Source organism: Homo sapiens, chromosome 5, assembly GCF_000001405.40.
Source record: "Homo sapiens chromosome 5, GRCh38.p14 Primary Assembly".
Classification (NCBI taxonomy): Eukaryota; Metazoa; Chordata; class Mammalia; order Primates; family Hominidae; genus Homo; species Homo sapiens.
Genome location: NC_000005.10, coordinates 157,623,518 through 157,642,604, shown reverse-complemented (window position 1 = coordinate 157,642,604; position 19,087 = coordinate 157,623,518). Strand labels below are relative to the sequence as shown.

The following is a 19,087-nucleotide window of genomic DNA, read 5'->3' as shown; positions in this document are numbered from 1 at the left end:
ACATTTCTTTCTTTTGTGTTTTTAGCATTGTCATGTAAAATAATCTCCATTTTTCTATGAACTTTTTATTTTAATCTCTATCAGCCTTTTTCCCTAGCCAATATCAATATTCCAAAAATTGAATAACCCCAGCGTAGATTTTTTTGACTTTCTCTTTAGCCAGGATCATAAATTTAAATATGTTGTGATTACTACCGCATAATATTTCACACACTGAATTCATGGATTTTCTAGTAATATTTCTCCATTATTTGGCTCTCAATCAAGCTTCTTCTTTTTTTTTTTTTTTGAGAGGGAATCTTACTCTGTCTCCCAGGCTGGAGTGCAGTGGCGTGATCTTGGTTCCCTGCAACCTCCACCTCCCAGGTTCAAGCGATTCTCCTGCCTCAGCCTCCTGAATAGCTGGGACTACAGGCAAGCGCCACCACGCCTGGCTAATTTTTGTATTTTTAGTAGAGACGGGGTTTCGCAACATTGGCCAGGCTGGTCTTGAACTCCTGGACTCAAGTAATCTGCCCGTCTCAGCCTCCCGAAGTGCAGGGATTACAGGCATGAGCCACTGCACCCGGCCCTCAAGCTGATTTCATTTTACTGTGTATTCTACCAAACCTTTTTGTTCTAATCGATCACTTGTCCTGTACTAGATCTTCCCAGTACACTTTTATCACATTAAGATATTCAGTAAATATATTCGAAATCTGGCAGTTTAATCTGGTATTCTCCCCTGTAACAGTGAGTTTTATCTCAGATATCTTCTGAGTAAATTCCAGTGGCACATTTGTTTGCCTGCTTACCTGCCGCCTTCACTACTAAGGTTTCTTAAATCCTATTATGGGGCAAACTCTGCTAGGAACAACATATAAAGTTTTTTTGTAGTCTCTGCTGTCAAAGAGTTCGTTAGGTAGTCGTAGCAAGTATAGATATAAATATAACTACTTTTACTATTTCTTTGATAGAATCTACTTTCTTGTCTGGTATTATTATTATTTTTTGAGATAGAGTCTTGCTCTGTCACCCAGGTTGGAGTGCAGTGGCATGATCTCAGCTCACTGCAACCTCCACCTACCAGGTTTAAGCAATTCTCCTGCCTCAGCCTCCAGAGTAGCTGGGATTACAGGTGCATGCCACCAAGCCCGGCTAATTTTTGTATTTTTAGTAGAGATGGGGTTTTACCATGTTGGCCAGGCTGGTTTTGAACCTCTGACCTCAGTCGATCTACCTGCCTCGGCCTCCCAAAGTGCTGGGATTACAGGCATAAGCCACCACGCCCAGCACTTGTCTGGTATTATTTTTATGTCTGGTGCATTATTTACTCTGTCACTCACATTTAGTACTATCTCCCAAGCTCCTCTTCTCTTACTAGTTCTTTTTTTTTTTCTGTAGAGATGGGATCTTGCTAGGTTGCCCAGTCTAGTCTCAAACTCCTGGACTCAAGTGATTCTCCCATCTTGGCCTTCCAAAGTGTTGGGATTACAAATGTGAGCCATGGCACCCACCCTGTTTCTAGTTTCTGAAAGTGCTTATGTTACTGGCGTAAAGTTCTTGGCTCTCAGTGTAATAGAAATTAACAAGAGGCCAGGCAAACTTTTCCTAGACAGGGGTTGTTAGGGCTTATGCCTGGAAAGATTGGGTATTAAGAGAGACAGCACAGGAGAAAGGGTTCTCTGGCTGGCTCTCCAAGGGAGTGCATTATGGTGTCTTCAGGAGGGTGATATGCATAATGCATGAGGTAGCTGAGTGTCATTACATATGCGAGGTGGAGTGCAGGGTGTGCAGACAAGTAAGGAATCATGCTAACTCATATGTTGATCATGATCAGAAAATCTCCCTGGGCGGAGATTTTAGTATTTCAATCCTAGAGATTTTAATATTACAATCCTAGGGGTTAGGATCGTCATTCTAATTCTAGATCGTCATTCTAGAATTTGCCAGGAGGCCATTCTCACATGCAGCCCTTGTGCACATGCAGGCGATAGAGTTAATTCCCTTGAGTAAGATTTGTGGTGGAATGCTGCTTATCTTAGTTTTTTCAGACAGCTTGCAAGGTCTGGTCAATGGGTATGGTGTCAGTGGGGGTGGTGCTGCAAGGTCTGGTGGTCAGTGCGCATGTATGGAAAAATACGTGAGTGAAGGTGAGATGATCCCCGCCACCCCACTACCCTGTCTCGCTTATAGCATGGTAGTGTGGAATTCTCTTCAGATCTTTGATTACATGTCTTTGATGCCAGTTATGCCAGCATCCTCCTTTTATATGAGTATTCCTATTCATTTAAAGGCTTTGGAACTTTTATAAAGCTGTATCCATTCATACTTTTCTTAACTATTTTTTATTAACCAGGTTCTGGCTAGATACTGGGATACGAATAGAAATTGAGAGTTCCTGCTCTCAATCTCCCAGTTTGGTGATCATGGTTGGGGTGGCAGACATGCAAATAATCACAAAGATTTACACTATTTCATGATAGGTGATAGGTTTACAAGGTTTGGAGGGAACGTGGACAAGGGAAATTAACCTATGCTTGATAAATCAGGAAGGGCCTGAGTAGGGCCTGTGCCTCACAGATAGTGGGGCTAGTCCAGATAACCTCATCAGGTGAAAATCAGGGCAGCATCATTACATCCTGTTTCTCTACTTCACTGGGTCAGAGCCCATCTTCAGACAGGTGGCTATGTCCCTTAATTCCCTACTTCCTGCTTTAAGAGGGGCATTATCTGCTTTATCTGGAGAAAAGAAAGGAGAGGGAAGTCACCTGAATGAGGCTGGGAAAAGATCCACATTTCTTTCAGTCTATGACAGAGACATGTCCAACCGCAGAATTTCTTGGACTGCATCTTCTTTATTAATGGATTCGAAACTGTATTGCAATACGTTAGATCATGACTCTCTTGCTGTGGCATCCATCTGTATTTCTTCAGGAAAGTTGAATTAAATTTAGACCAGGTGTGTCATTTGGGTCACTTAGCAGCTCAATCAGTAGTCCTGTCTTCTTCAGAACAGAAAGCTAAAACACATTAATTGTTTCACCTACCTTTAAAAATTTTGCCATATCTTTCATGCTCTGCTGCAATAGTATTCCTTTTGTATCTGTCACCAGTGGTTGACATGTGGCAAGTCCTGTTCTCACTTGGAAATTTCCTTTCGTATTCATATTGAATACAATAGAGTGAAGTAATTTTGTTGTTTAAGTTTTTTTCAACGAAAAAAATTAAATGTCATTTATAATTTAGTTTAATATAGAGAAGTTTATAAAAGAAAAGAAAAATGACCCATACTGCTACTCTGAAACCCCTAGTAATATTAAAAATAAGATTAATATATTTAGGTAAACAGAACATTCAGATAGTACCAGTAGGTATAAAACGAAAGTCTGGCTTTTCCTCCTGCCCCACTGCCCTGTCCCCTCTCTTAGATCATGGCTCCTTAAAGGTAACTAGTGTCAATAGCTTCATATTATTATTATTTTTAAATGTATATATGCATACCAGCATTTATGTGTTTTCAGTCTTTTAATATATCTATCAATAATTTTATTCATTTGTTTATTCATCTAAAAAATATTTGTTGAGGGCCTCTTCTGCCCCAGACAGAATGTTTCACCCTGGGGATACAGCAGCAAACGAAACAGAAAACGTTGCTCTTCTCATGGCACTTAGAGTCTAGTTGAGAGAGAGAGACAAAAAATGTAAATGAACAAGAAAACAAGATAACTTCAGTTTGTTCAAAATGCTGCAAATGAAATAGAGTGGTTTGATATGATGATGCAGTTAGGTAAGGTGATTGATGAAGGCCTCTGCTTATACAATTTATTAAACTTTACTGAAAGAAGAAAAACATGGAATGACTCAGTTAATTCTTGATTTATGCTATTTTTATTTCTAAAGGTGAAACCTCACCTGCTATCCAGCTGCCCACACCTGCAGTCCAGAGCCCAAGCCCTGTCACACTTTTCCAGCCCAGCGTCTCCAGTGCTGCTCAGGTGGCTGTCCAGGATCCAAGTCTACCTGTCTATCCAGCACTCCCACCCCAACGCTTTACTGGGCCTTCCCAAACAGACACTCATCAGCTGCATTCTGAAGCCACTCACACTGTGAAGCAACCCACTCCTGTCTCTCTAGAGAGCGCCAACAGGATTTCAAGTAGTGCAAGTACTGCCCATGCCAGATTTGCAACTTCGACCATCCAACCTCCTAGGGAGTATTCCAGCGTTTCCCCTTGTCCCAGAAGTGCTCCAATCCCCCAGGCTTCTCCCATTCCACACCCACATGTCTACCAGCCCCCTCCCCTTGGCCATCCAGCCACACTGTTCGGGACACCACCAAGATTCTCTTTTCATCACCCTTACTTCCTACCCGGACCTCACTACTTCCCATCAAGGTAAATTAACATTTTTTTTCCTTTTACCTAAACATTCAGCTAATGAGTTTTTACCTGTGACAACATTTTTTTGTTTATTTGTTTTTAAATACTGAAAAGCAGACTTCTTCAATTCTGCTGACTAGGAGCCAAGCAGTTAACATAAATAGATGGAGAGGGCCAGGTGAGGACTGGGGTAGCTAGGGAGAGTGCAGCTCTAACTCAGCTCCAGCTGACTCTTGTTACATAAGAATATAGGCTTCAGGCAGTGGCTCATGCCTGTAATTCCAGCACTTTGGGAGGCCAAGGTGGGTGGGTAACTCGAGGTCAGGAGTTTGAGACCAGCCTGGTCAACATGGTAAAACTCTGTCTCTACTAAAAATACAAAAATTAGCCAGGCGTGGTGGCACGTGCCTGTGATCCCAGCTACTCAGGAGGCTGAAGCAGGGGAATCACTTGAACCTGGGAGGCGGAGGTTGCAGTGAGCTGAGATCACACCAACTTCACTGCAGCCTGGGTGACCATCTCAAAAAAAAAAAGAACAAGAATATAGGCTTTAATGTTGGATATAATTTTTCATGCAAAATAACTATAAGGGACCTTAAGATCATTTAGTCAAATGTATTGAGGTGTACTTATTGTATAGAGGGGGTGCATCTCAAACTTTATTGTGTATATAAATCGTGGTATTTTGTTAAAAATGCAGATTCTGATTCATTGGGTCTGGGGTTTAGTAGTATCCTATATGGGAGTATAGTACGCCTGATATTTGGCATTTCTAGCAAGCTCCCAAGTGATTGCCAATTCTGCTGGTTTACGGACCACACTTTGAATAGCAAGGGTATAGAGGAGGGCACTTGGTCTACGTGAAAAATTGTTTATTTACCTAGGTTAAATGACTAGACCAAAGTTATACTACCTCTTTGTGCCCTTTTTACCAAATTAGAAAATTTCCCACATAAATTACCAATAAAGGAATTCATTTTCATAGGGAAGTATCTAGGGAAAACAAATGTGTAACTTCATTTTGGAATGATAGAAATTTAACTCCCTTGGAAGTATTTTGATAGAGTGGTATTAGCCTCTGCTTTCCATTTTTTTTTTTTTTTTTTTTTTTGAGGCGGAGTTTTGCTCTTGTTGCCCAGGCTGGAGTGCAATGGCGCGATCTTGGCTCACCACAGCCTCCGCCTCCCGGGTTCAAGCGATTCTCCTGCCTCAGCCTCCTGAGTAGTTGGGATTACAGGCATGCGTCACCACGCCTGGCTAATTTTTTTTGTGTGTTTTTAATAGAGATGGGGTTTCTCCATGTTGGTCAGGCTGGTCTTGAACTCCCGACCTCAGATAATCTGCCCATCTCGGCCTCCCAAGGTGCTGGGATTACATGCGTGAACCACCATTCCCGGCCTAGCCTTTACTTTTCAATTACTGTTAAATGTGTAGACAAAGATGGTTTCTGTTGAGACGGGAGTATTAAACTGTCTAACACCAATCTTTTATTGTTTCTTACTTAGCAAGTAAATCTACTTCCCATTAGGGTATACCTACACCTCAATAGAAACAACTTTTGAGGTATATATTATGTTGCTTCAATTTATAATCAATTGCTTGCTTTTGGGCCCTTAGCTCAGGACTGGAAGAAAGTGGGACCAGAGGATTAGATCAGGAGAAAGGAAGATTTTTGTCATCTAGGGTTTGTTTTGTTTTATGTAGAATCTTTTTATCTTTTGCAGCCTTAATAAGTATTTTAGTTCAAGGGATCAAACCTCAAGAGACTTTTAATTTAAGGCCGGGGAGGTTGATAATCTCTTTTCATTGCTATCTGCTAGGATCTAGGATTTTACAGGAATTTTGGAGAATTTTATAAAATGTTTCCTACATATAAGAAGAATATGAAGGGTGTAGATTGAATTTAATGAATGAGTAAATTTGAGAACACTTGGCCTTAGTTAGAATCTTGAGGCCTATAACAAAAATTGTGGAAAATTGTATCTGCTACATAATTAATTTTGTAATATGGGAAATGCTTGGACCCTATTTACTCACAGGATAGGTGAAGAAGAGTCAATTACAATGGGCTGTGTACCACAGTCTCACTCTAGCTGTTACTACTTTTTTGTTTGTTGCATTTTTCTTCTTTTTAGTGTTTTGAGAGCTAAGAATTTTTACACGTAGTTTTTATAACAATCCTGTGACTTGGGTATAATATTCCCCTACTTTTTCAGTTAAATAAATGGATTAGTAAATAGCCTCATCAAGGTTGTACAGTGGCAGAGCCAATAGTCAAATTCAGGTTTGATTGATTTTGAATTTCATATTTGTCTTTTTTACTATATCAGTAAGACTTCTTTTATGACAGCTCCTCTTGATTGGCAGCTGTTAGTTGCTAGCAGAGAATCATATGGAAAAAATATATTTTGAATAAAAACCTCACATAGTCAAGTGGACATTGGGGCAGGTAATTTTCCTTACATATTACATAGATTAAATCATAGAAGTCTATCTTATTTATTTGGGACAAGGCTTGTAAGATTTGACTGTTAATGTATAAATTATCTGACACTTTAAGGAACATTTTAAAAGGAAGCTCTTGAAAGTAAGTTCTTTGTTTTTGTTTTTGTTTTTTTTTTGAGACAGAGTCTTGCTCTGTCACCCAGGCTGGAGTGCAGTGGCGCAATCTTGGCTCACTGCAACCTCTGCCTTCCAGGTTCAAGCAATTCTCCTATCTCAGCCTCCCGAGTAGCTGGGACCACAGGTGCCTATCACCACACCCGGCTAATTTTTGTATTTTTAGTAGAGATGGGGTTTCACCATATTGGTCAGGCTGGTCTCGAACTCCTGACCTCAGGTGATCCACCTGCCTCAGCCTCCCAAACTACTGGGATTATAGGCATGAGCCACTGCTCCCACCCAAAAGTAAGTTCTTGGAAGACAGAAACTACCTTTTTTGTTAATACTATTACTGCTAATTAATAATAATGCTATTGGAAGAACCAAATGAAGTGACTAGCTATTATACTGAATTTTATTTCATTTAAGAATGTCAGAGCAGTATGTCAACTATAAACATTAAGCTATGCATAGTTTTTTAGAAAAGAAGACTAGCCTTATCAATTATAATATTTTTCAGTTGTTTTTCTGACTCTACCTGTATGTGTCTGATGATAATTTCCCCAAGGAAATAATCTATTTATGACTGTCTAGATAGTATATTTCAGTAAACCCTAAATGCCAAAATTAATTGATTCTCTCTCAATTTTTCTCTTCTCCCAACTGATAATGGAATTTTCTGTAAGGAATATTTCTGGGCAGATGCAGTGGCTCACGCCTGTAATCCCAGCACTTTGGGAGGCCGAGGCGGGCAGATCACCTGAGGTCAGGTGTTTGAGACCAGCCTGGTGAACATGATGAAACCCTGTCTCTACTAAAAATACAAAAATTAGCCAAGTGTGGTGGTGGGCACCTGTAATCCCAGCTATTCGGGAGCTTGAGGCAGGAGAATCGCTTGAACTTGGGAGGCAGAGGTTGCAGTGAACCAAGATCACACCCCTGCACTCCAGCCTGGGCAACAAGAGTGAAACTATATATATATTTCCTTCCTACTCTAGTTATTTATATGTGGAATTTTCCAACTATTTCAATGTTAGAATTGTAATGGACATTTGAGATATACTTATATATACATATTTTGTGTATATATGTATATATTTATGATTATTCACTATTAAAAATTTTGGCTGGGCGTGGTGGCTCACGCCTGTAATCCCAACACACTTTGGGAGGCCAAGGAGAGAGAATCTGTTGGGCCCAGGAGTTTGAGACCAGCCTGGGCAATTTAGTGAGACCTTGTCTCTACCCCCAAAATTTTTTTAATTAGCTGGTCGTGGTGGCATGTGCCTGTAGTCCCAGCTACTCAGGAAGCTAAGGTGGGAGGATCACTTGAGCCTGGGAGGTGAAGGCTGCAGTGAGCCAAGATCATGCCACTGCACTCCAACCTGGGCACCAGAGTGAGACCATGTCTCAAAAAACCAAAAAGTGTTTCTTTTCGCTACGCAGTTCACTTTGCCCTGTGTATGTAGAGTAAAAATCAAGTAGGCTAGGTGGTTTAATCAAGGAGTCATTTTACAAAACAGATGGACACTCAGAAGTGCTGCTCCCCCTCTCTGGGGCTAACATCTTATTCCTGCCTTCAGATCTTAACCATCATCATATTGTGTTTGTCAAAATGCTCTCTTTCTGTGTACTACATTAATTCTTCAGACTAGTTCTTTTCTCCCTACCCCTTCCTCTTCCTTCTTCTTGCAGTATATTGGGCTTTCACATTCAAGGGAGATACATAGTATCTTCATTCTGTTGGCCATTGGGTAAAAAATGTGTTTAAAATCTATGTAAGTAGGGATAAAGAAAAGATATGAAGACAAATGGGGATTTACTATCTTGAAATATATGGAAAATACACTCAGATATATTGTAGGGAAAGTAAGTTCAAAGAATTCCTGGATTTGTAGAAATAGCATCTAAATTGTAAAATTTTAGGCAAATGAATCAAAGGTTAAAAGCAATTCTCTTTAACCTTTGTTTGGGTCAGAGACCCATTTGAGAATTTGATTGAAGTTATGGACTTCTTCCATAATAATGCATATCTGCATACATATACAAACTTTTGCCTAAACTTATGGAGGAGGGAAACTAACAGTCCCAAAACATGATAGACTTAGTTAACATAGAATACCTTCTGCTGTAACTACCTAGAAATGTTAAATTTAAATATGAACAATTTAATACCTACCTGAACTCCCCAGCAAGGAACTCACCATGTGCCAAAATGATCAACAAGTTAAAAACTAGTTGTAGTGGTCCTGGAGATGATTTTCAGATTCAGAAATAGTTTCATTGGTTATAAACTTGGGTTTTAAGCTCGATGTGCTGTCATGCACCTGTAGTCCCAGCTACTTGGGAGGCTGAGGTGGAGTTCGAGGCCAGTCTTGGCAACAAATTGTGATCCTGTCTCTAAAACAAAAACAAAAACAGAAAAAACCCTAAACTTGAGTTTTAATGTCTGTGAAGGGAAAAAAGATGAGGTCTTGACCCTGCTCTGCTCCCCTGTTCAAGGTGGGGATAGGTACTGAAACTAAAACCTCTTTATAAAGCCAAGACCCTGGAAGGAATTTTTCTTTTTTTTGTTTTTTTGAGAGTCTTGCTCTGTCTGCCAGACTGGGGTTCTGCAGCCTCTGCCTCTGGGGTTCAAGCGATTCTCGTGCCTCAGCCTCCTGAGTAGCTAGGATTACAGGTACATGCTACCATGCCTGGCTAATTTTTGTATTTTTAGTGGAGACTGAGTTTTGCCATGTTAGTCAGGCTGGTCTTGAACTCCTGGCCTTAAGTGATCTGCCTGCCTTAGCCTCCCAGAGTGTTGGGATTACAGGCGTGAGCCACCACACCTGGCTGGAAGGACTTCTTAACCTTGATAAAAGGAATATAAAATTTTTGTCGTTGATCCAGGTAAAGCACAGAAAGAATCTTGTTTTTACTCAGGGCTCTATGTGATTTTCATTAGAAATAAAATTCCCAAGGTGTTTCACACATTGGTTCAGAGTCTAAAATCACCCTGTCCACTGGATGCAGACATTTCTTTTTCTTTTTGAGATGGAGTTTCGCTCTTTTTGCCCAGGCTGGAGTGTAATGCCACGATCTCGGCTCACTGCACTGCCTCCAGGGTTCAAGTGATTCTCCTGCCTCAGCCTCCCGAGTAGCTGGGATTACAGGTGCCCACCACCACGTCCAGCTAATTTTATATTTTTAGTACAGATGGGGTTTCACCCGTCTCTACTGGAAATCCAATGAGACCTAATTAGCTAGACTTTTCAGGATAGAGTACCAGAGAAAAGAGAGCTACGCACAGAGGGAACTCCAGATGACTGTGTAGGGTCCCTCTTGAGTATTCGGTGAAGTACTAATTAGTGCATCCTTGTGAAGAAACAACCCAAGGCAGTGAAAGAACCACCTGAAAGGATCAGAGAAAACAATATCTGGCAATCATGCACTAACACAGTGCTGTGAATAGTCCCACCAACTAGATTGGAAAACTTCTATGGGGCACAGAACATTGGGTACTCAGAAGGGTCTTGCTTCAGATAGCCTTAGCCCAAATGTTGCAATGGTCACAACTAAAAATTCTTTTTTTTTTTTTTTTTTTTTTTTTTTTTAGTTACGGGGTGGGTCTTGCTGTGTCACCCAGGCTGGAGTGCAGTGGCATGATCATAGCTCATTGCAGCCTCGAACTCCTGGGCCTAAGTGATCCTTCTTTCTCAGCCTCCTGAATAACTGGGACTACAGGTGTGCACCACCATGCCCAGCTAATATTCTCATGTTTTTGTAGAGACAGGGCCTCACTTTGTTGCCTAGGCTGTTTTCAAACTCCTGGCCTCCCAAAGTGCTGGAATTAACAGGCATGAGCCATTGTGCTCTAATTTTTTTTTTTTTTTTTTTGAGACGAGTTCCCACTCTGTTACCCAGGCTGGAGTGCAGTGGCACGATCTTGGCTCACTGCAACCTCAGCCTCCCGGGTTCGAGCAAGCAATTCTCCTGCCCTCAGCCTCTGGAGTAGCTGGGACTACAGGCCGCACCACCATGCCCGGCTTATTTTTGTATTTTTAGTAGAGACGGGGTTTCACCATGTTGACCAGGGTGGTCTCAAACTCCTGACCTCAGGTGATCCACACGCCTCGGCCTCCCAAGGTGCTGGGATTACAGGCGTGAGCCACCGCGCCCAGCTCAAAATTCTTAAAAGCAAGACCTGAAAGGACCAACTTGTTTTTAAGTAATTTAACTGCACCCAAGAGCAAAGCTCAAGAATAGAAATAGAATCAAATAATTAAAAAGGTAAGTGAGAGTACGGTTCATTTTTGAGATGGCAGCACAGGGAGCTCTGTGGACCCAGTCTCTAGCAAACAAGTGTAAGTGGTGAAAACTATTTTTAAAAACCAATCATTCAAGTCTCTGGAAGTTGCTGGGTGTGGTGGTGTACCTGTAGTCTCAGGTACTTGGGAGGCTGAGGCAGGAAGATTGCTTGAGCCCAGGAATTTGAGACTGTAGTGAGCTATGATCATACCACTGCATTCTGGCCTGGGTGACAGCAAAACCCCATCTCTTAAATTACATATATAAAATACATATATTGTGTGTATATATATATATATATATATAAAATATATATATTGTATATATATATAAAATATATAGTATATATATAAAAAATATATATAGTATATATATAAAAATATATAGTGTATATATATACAATATATATAGTATATATATATAATATATAATATAGATATTATATATTTTTTATATATATAAAATTATATATATTGTATATATATATATAAAAATATATAATATATATATAATGTATATATATAAATGGGAAATCCAGAAGGCCACACACATATCCAGAGCTAGACCCATGTTCAGAAAATACACAAAAAGACCCCAAGCTTTTAACTCTAACTGATCTGTAGGCTCTGTATAAGCAGGAAGTAAAGACTAAGGCAGAACTGAAAATAGCCTGGCTAAGTATTTAAGGAGTGCCCCAGTTCAAAGCCAATCTGTAAAGACCAGGAAAATATGTTTTGTTTTGTTTTTGTTTCTAGGTTTTTAAGGAAATCTCTATCAAATTTCTGACCGCTAAGCTAATTGAACAGAGATTTCAATGACCATGCATAACAAAGAATACGGTCTTTACAAAAATACTCTAGAAAACCAAATAAACAACTACAACCCCAAACAAGCAACAACAACAAACCTTGGATAAGGGAAAGAATTTGATTTCTAGTGGCATCACATTATAATATTCAAAACATCCAGTTTTCAACAAAAAAGTTACAAGACATGCAAAGAAACAAGAAAGTAGGGCATTCACAAGGAAATAATATTAATAGTAACTATCCCCAAGGAAGCTGAGACATTGGACTTAATAGACAGTTTAAATCAGCTGTTTTAAATATGCTCAAGGAACTAAAGGAAACCATGGACAAAGAACTAAAGGAAACCAGGAGAACAGTGTTTCACCAAATAGATCATATCAATAAGGAGATAGAAATTAAAAAAGAACCAAATACAAATCCTCAAGCTAAAAATTGCAGTAACTTCTTATAAGACTTACCAATCATACATTGAAATAGTGTTTCTAGTTTCCATCACTTATATTCTCCTGTTCCTTATGACAGACCTTTTAGGTTGACAGAACAGACATTGTTATCCCTATTTTATATAAGAAGGATACAAGGATCAGATAAAGTAAGATTTACTTAAGTTTACCAGATTCTTATGTGGCATAGCTAGAACTAGAGCCTGGGTAGGGCGGCATGGTAGTTAGGAGAACAAGTTCTGGAGTCAAATTGCCTGATTCTGTCTACCACTTACTAATTATATCACTTTGAGCGAGTTACTTAACCTTTTTAAAGCTCCATTTCCTCATCTGTACAGTGGAGATATTTATAGTGTCTGTGTCTTAGGGTCGTTCTGAGTGTTGTTCAGTGTTATATTGAAATAACATATACACTCCTTGGCCAATGCCTAAAAAATAGTAAATGCTTACATATTGGATAATATTATTATTTGGACTATTCTAATTAATGTTTTTCCCCCTACACCATGATGCTTTTATAGTTTTTTGCTTTCACTCATGTAACCTTCTAGGATTGCCTTTGTCTTAATTGATCTTTTTGTTCTCTGAATATAACACGAACTCGTCTTTACCACACCAAAATAGTCACTATAATGCTGGCGTTATAGACTTTAGCACATGTCTAATATATACCTAGATTTTATGTTTTTTAAAAAATTATCTACCAAGCCTTACATAGCGTCTTGCCTACATTGAGTCCTGAAAAAGACAGTTGTTGGGTGAATTATTTCTAGCTGAAATGAAGGCTTTGTGGAAGGGATAGATTTTTATTTTATTGATATATAACATTTTACGTATTTATGGGGTACTTGTCATAAATATGTATAAAATGTGTAATGATCAAGTCAGGGTATTTGGGTTATCTGTCACCTTGATTATCATTTCTGTATATTGGGAACATTTTTAGTCCTCTCTTATAGCTACTTTGAAATACACCAGACATTGTTGCTAACTATAGGCACCCTACTGTGCTACTGAACATTAGAACTTACATCTTCTATCTAACTGTATGTTTGTACCCATAGTCAGCCTCTTTTCATCCCTGAATTATCTGTGGAATTCAATGGATAGAGAGACCTGCTATATGAGCAAAGCTGTGCTAGCCAGAAGCACAGTGTATTTGGCCGTGCACGGTGGCTCACACTCATAATCCCAGCACTTTGGGAGGCTGAGGCGGGCGGATCACCTGAGGTCAGAATTTCGAGACCAGACTGGCCAACATGGTGAAACCCCATCTCTACTAAAATACAAAAATTAGCCGGACATGGTGGCGGGCACCTGTAATCCTAGCTACTCGGTAGGCTGAGGCAGGAGAATTGCTTGAACCTGGGAGGCGGAGGTTGCAGTGAGCCAAATTCATGCCACTGCACTCCAGCCTGGGTGACAGAGCGAGACTCTGTCTCAAAAAAAAAAAAAAAAGAAGCACAGTGTATTCAGGACATGTGTATTAAATTTAAAATGCCCGAACTAAGAGTGGCAGTAGGCATGGAAACCTGAAAAATTTTAGAAACTTTACCTCATTTGTTATAATTAACATGAGCAAGGTACCTAGCACTTGAAGATTTGGGGGTAGGGCATAGTTTCAGAGTTTGAGATAATAGTCTAGTATGTCTGTCATACTTAGGTTTTTAAAAGTAAGGTAACAAAGTTGACTCTGTGTGTGTGTGTGTGTGTGTGTGTGTGTGTGTGTGTGTGTGAAGGCCAGAAATGAAACACTTAACTTGCCATGGGTTTTGCCGATGAGTATGGTCATTATGTTTATGTTATCTGTCACTAGATGGTTGGACTCTACCTCTTCCTATAATTCCTGCTCTATGCCTTTGAAAGAGAGAATAATACTTAAAAACAATTGACAAATGGGTTTGAGTAGCAGAATTTTTGAGGTATAATCTTTTTTAAAAAAATTTTTTTTTGAGATGGGGGTCTCACTATATTGCCCAGGCTGGCTTCAAACTCCTGGGCTCAAACGATCCTCCTGCGTCAGCCTCCTGAGTAGCTGGGACTACAGGCATGCACTACTGTGCCCAGCAAATGGCAGAAATTTTGGATTTGACTTTTTTTTTTTTTTTGAGATGGAGTCTCACTCTGTCACCCAGGCTGGAGTGTGGTGGCGTGATCGCGGCTCACTGCAAGCTCCGCCTTCTGGGTTCACGCCATTCTCCTGCCTCAGCCTCCTGAGTAGCTGGGACTACAGGCGCCCGCCACCACGCCTGGCTAATTTTTTGTATTTTTAGTAGAGATGGGGTTTCACCGTGTTAGCCAGGATGGTCTCGATCTCCTGACCTTGTGATCCGCCCACCTCGGCCTCCCAGAGTGCTGGGATTACAGGCGTGAGCCACCGCGCCCGGCCAAAAAACCATAACTTTTAAAACTGCAAAATGTCTTTTTGATTCTTCACATTCCTGCCCTCCAAAAAATGTTTTGGAAAAGACCTTTAAGACCATAGTTTACTATCAGTTTCAAATCTTTCTAGTAGTAACAGTGTTTTAAATTTACTTTATTATTGAATGTCAATGAAAAAATTTAACTTGTCTTCTGTTCCAGTGCCTCAATATTCTGGATCTCTTGATTTCAATCTAGTTATACATTTCCCCCCCAACATGAGCTTCCTTTCAAATACCACTAAAAACAACTATTGCACTATTGCATTGTTTACTAAGTGTCAATTCTGTGGGTTTTTTTGTTTGTTTTTGTTTTTTTGGAGGCGGAGTCTCACTCTGTCACCAGGCTGGAGTGCAGTGGCGCAGTCTCGGCTCACTGCAACCTCTACCTCCTGGGTTCAAGCGATCCTCCTGCCTCAGCCTCCTGAGTAGCTGGGACTACAGGCATGCACCACCATGCCCAGCTAATTTTTTGTATTTTTAGTAGAGATGGGGTTTCACTATGTTGGCCAGGATGATCTCTATCTCTTGACCTCATGTTCCGCCCGCCTCAGCCTCCCAAAGTGTTGGGATTACAGGCGTGAGCCACCGCGCCCAACCACTGAGTGTCAATTCTTAGCATAGCTCAACACACATCTGCATTTCCAAAACCTTATATGGTATGAGGCATCATGAGAGAAAGACCAGAATAAGCAATTTTGTTATCATGGTTGTCAAAGGTAAGAAGCCTGAGGCTAACGATAGATAATAGTGCTGGTGAGTATTCCAGTCACAAGCTCCCTTTCCTGTTCCTTGTGGGTGGGGACTGGGCAGTGGGAAAAGAGCAGAGGAATACATGAAGTGTTTGCAGAAAGGAACTTTCCAAACCCCAAAGAGGAGGCATTAACTTGCTCTGTTAGTCTGTATGCAAGGCAATATGTGGGCAAGATCTAATTCCTTGTTTGTGTTTTTCTGCTGCAGTACATGCCCTTACAGTCGGCCTCCCTTTGGCTATGGAAATTTTCCGAGTTCAATGCCAGAATGCCTTAGTTATTATGAAGACAGGTACCCAAAACATGAGGGTATCTTTTCAACTTTAAATAGAGACTATTCTTTTAGAGACTACTCAAGTGAATGCACACACAGTGAAAATTCTCGGAGTTGTGAGAACATGAATGGAACTTCTTACTATAACAGTCATAGCCACAGTGGGGAAGAAAACTTAAACCCTGTGCCTCAGCTGGACATTGGAACCTTGGAGAATGTCTTCACAGCCCCGACATCAACTCCTTCTAGCATCCAGCAAGTCAATGTCACCGACAGTGATGAGGAGGAAGAAGAAAAAGTGCTCAGGGATTTATAATTTTAAAACAAATATGCACAGAAAATAAACATTTCTTAAAATATATTCTGGGTCAGTTGGTATGAGAAAAAAAAAAGCCTAGAATTCTTTGTTGAAAGTTTTCAGTCGTGATTTGAGGAGTTAAAACCAAATGCAATTTATGTCTTCATAAAATTTTGATTAGTGAAACTAGAGTCTGGATGTTTCATTGTAGGAATATTTAAGTTATTAAGTAGTTTAATTTTAATGGCTGAAATTTGCATCAACATGTATTATTATTACTTTATCCTGGAACATGCAAAATACTGAAGCCTCACAGTTGTATGTGAGGGGAAAGGGGAAATAAATCTAGCATAGTGTGATTTTTATTTTATCTCAGGATACATTTTTTAAATGATTTTTTGTTTGCTTTTTATGTAATACTTATGGATGTTGTCAATTTTTGATGTAACATTTTGAAAGTATTTTGACAACTCCTAGTGAACTTGGACTTGGTTGCTAAATTTAACTTACACTAATAACCAATTATAAGTTCCAAATGTGTTTTAATGGCACCTGGGTGATTCTTCAGCTAAATTTAGTCATTTCTGTTTCTAAATATTTTTATCATTTTAAAATATTTTTTTTCCATTTGGCATACATCGTTCTTTGTTGTAATTAAATAAACATAGATAAAATTGTTCTTGTTGGATGTTTTCTGTTTGCGGGATAGAAGTAAGCAAACAGAGTATTTTTCATAGAAGATTGTTTTCTATACCATATACAGATAATTCATTTTTACCTATAGTCTCCAGAATTGCATAGATTCTATTAGCTCACACGAGACTTAAACATGTATCAACAAAGTTGCCCACACATTCTGATGCCATTTCCAAACTCTTTACACATACGTACACATGACTTAAGCACATCCCAGAATGGAAGAGCTCTTCCAGATTTGGCTCAAGCAGCTGTCTTGAAAACCATGAAGTTTATTTAAGAGCATAAGGAATTTATTTAATTCACGATGAACAAAAAAACCCTACCTGTGACATAACCTCCTGGTAAGTACCCAGTTAGGGATTGAGAAGGCCTTTTTAGAACAGTATCAGGACTATGAAAGTTGAGATCATGGTAAAAGATCTCTAAGGTACAAAGTGAATTGATGATGGGAAATAGTCACCAACCAATACGCTTTTCCCTCAGTGATCTATATAATTTATGCAAATTGAGATCTTGTTACTTAAAACTGTGTGGAAATTGTGTATGGAAATCTCTTCTAAGCTTCCACATTCTTCCTTTACTAAACCTGTATTTGTTTCTTAAACAAAATTTGTTAATGTAATACATTTCATCAGACTTACATTTATTGTACATGACACTTTCTTTCCCAATACAAATTTTGTTTTCATGGTTTTATATTCTTTATTACTATGCCCAGTGCCATTTTGATGTGTTTAAAGAGTAAAACTTTAATTTCTTCGTGATAGAAAGCAAACATATGTCACCTCACATCTGAACTAAAGTAACATTTGATTGTCTACACATTTGATATCTATACCATTAAAGAGAAATGTATGCAACAATTTGACCCATTTTACCTCATCTCATTTAATAGCAACTTTGTGACTAACTGGATTTTTACCACAGACCTTATTCTTGTAGACAAATTGGTTGTTGAAATCACTGTGTAAAGCAGTGAATAAGATAGAGCACAGGTCGGTATATCCTAACTGCCTGTCTGTAGGGTAGCCCTGCCCCTCTCCGATTCTTTCTTTAAACTTTTCTTTTAATGGCTAACCCTGGTCAATTCTTTTACTCTTCCTCCTTTTTCTCAGTGCTGGGATCAGAAGCCAGGAGTTTGGATTGTTTATAGATCCACAGTACAATTTGGGCTGGGAAATATGAGTATTTCATTTAGAAAGTACCCAATTGCAGATAAGCATTCCCAACTACAAACGGCCATATCTGATCATTTACAGCTTTTCAAACCACCAACTAGAGATCTACAGTCCAAACAAAGCCCTGCCCCACTGGCAGTAATTCATCTGCCTTTCTAAGTCATCAAAGTGAAATTCTCTAAGTTCAAAGCCACAAGTACTTTCTAGTAGGTCTCATTGCCTTTTTTGTTAGGTAATGACATTTGTTATAAGAATAGTCTCAAAATATGTTGAAATCTCAATATGTATAGAACGTCACTCAAACTGTTCTATGCTTTGGGCAAAGCTGCTCTGGCTATTTGCAAATAAAAACTAGTTTCACTGCAAAGTGACTGAAAATAGAGTTAGTCTGAACTTTCAAGGAGCCGAGTTACCAAATTTAGGAGGACAAGAGCAGTATTTCTCTACATTCATCAGTGAGAATTTAGAGATTCTGACAAAATTTGGTCAAATAAGTTTGGAAAAAACATGTCACACCCCATCTTGAAGAGTGTCAGTGTCCATTATCATTGTTATGTCTCAAAAGTCTTACAGTAAAGAAACATGTTAAACTCTATTTCAGCGTTTCCCAATCTTATCTAGCGTGAACTCCCCCCAACTTTTTGTGTTAACATATTACCTACTAACATCTCACAGAGCACCCTTCAGAAAAAAATAATAGCTGGTGGCTTTGGTTTAAAAATTGTTGACTTCTCACATGGTTTTCTGCATTGGGCAGTTCAAATTCCTTAGTGAAAGCACTGGCTGAATAAACTTTTCTTCATTGTATCTTAATGGTCTTAAAAGATTGAAAAACTGAAACTTATAATTGTTGTTAATTTACTGGCTATTAAACTGGCTTTTAAAATTATACTTTAAGTTCTGGATACATGTGCAGAACGTGCAGGTTTGTTACATAGGTATACACGTGCCATGGTGGTTTGC

General features: G+C 39.3%; 1 protein-coding gene across 3 annotated transcripts in view; it reads left to right on the top strand.

Annotated features, from left to right (window-relative positions):
* SOX30 (SRY-box transcription factor 30) overlaps positions 1-16,926 on the top strand; it is a 45,802-nt gene extending 28,876 nt beyond the window's left edge. For 2 of the 3 annotated variants that reach the window (NM_001308165.2, NM_178424.2), the window contains 2 exons: positions 3,883-4,375; positions 15,884-16,926. In NM_001308165.2, the coding sequence (NP_001295094.1) occupies positions 3,883-4,375; positions 15,884-16,265 (875 nt within the window). In that variant the 3' untranslated portion in view covers positions 16,266-16,926. The remainder of the gene's footprint in view (positions 1-3,882; positions 4,376-15,883) is intronic. The other variant, NM_007017.3, reaches the window with a different exon arrangement.
* Positions 16,927-19,087: the final 2,161 nt, after the last annotated feature.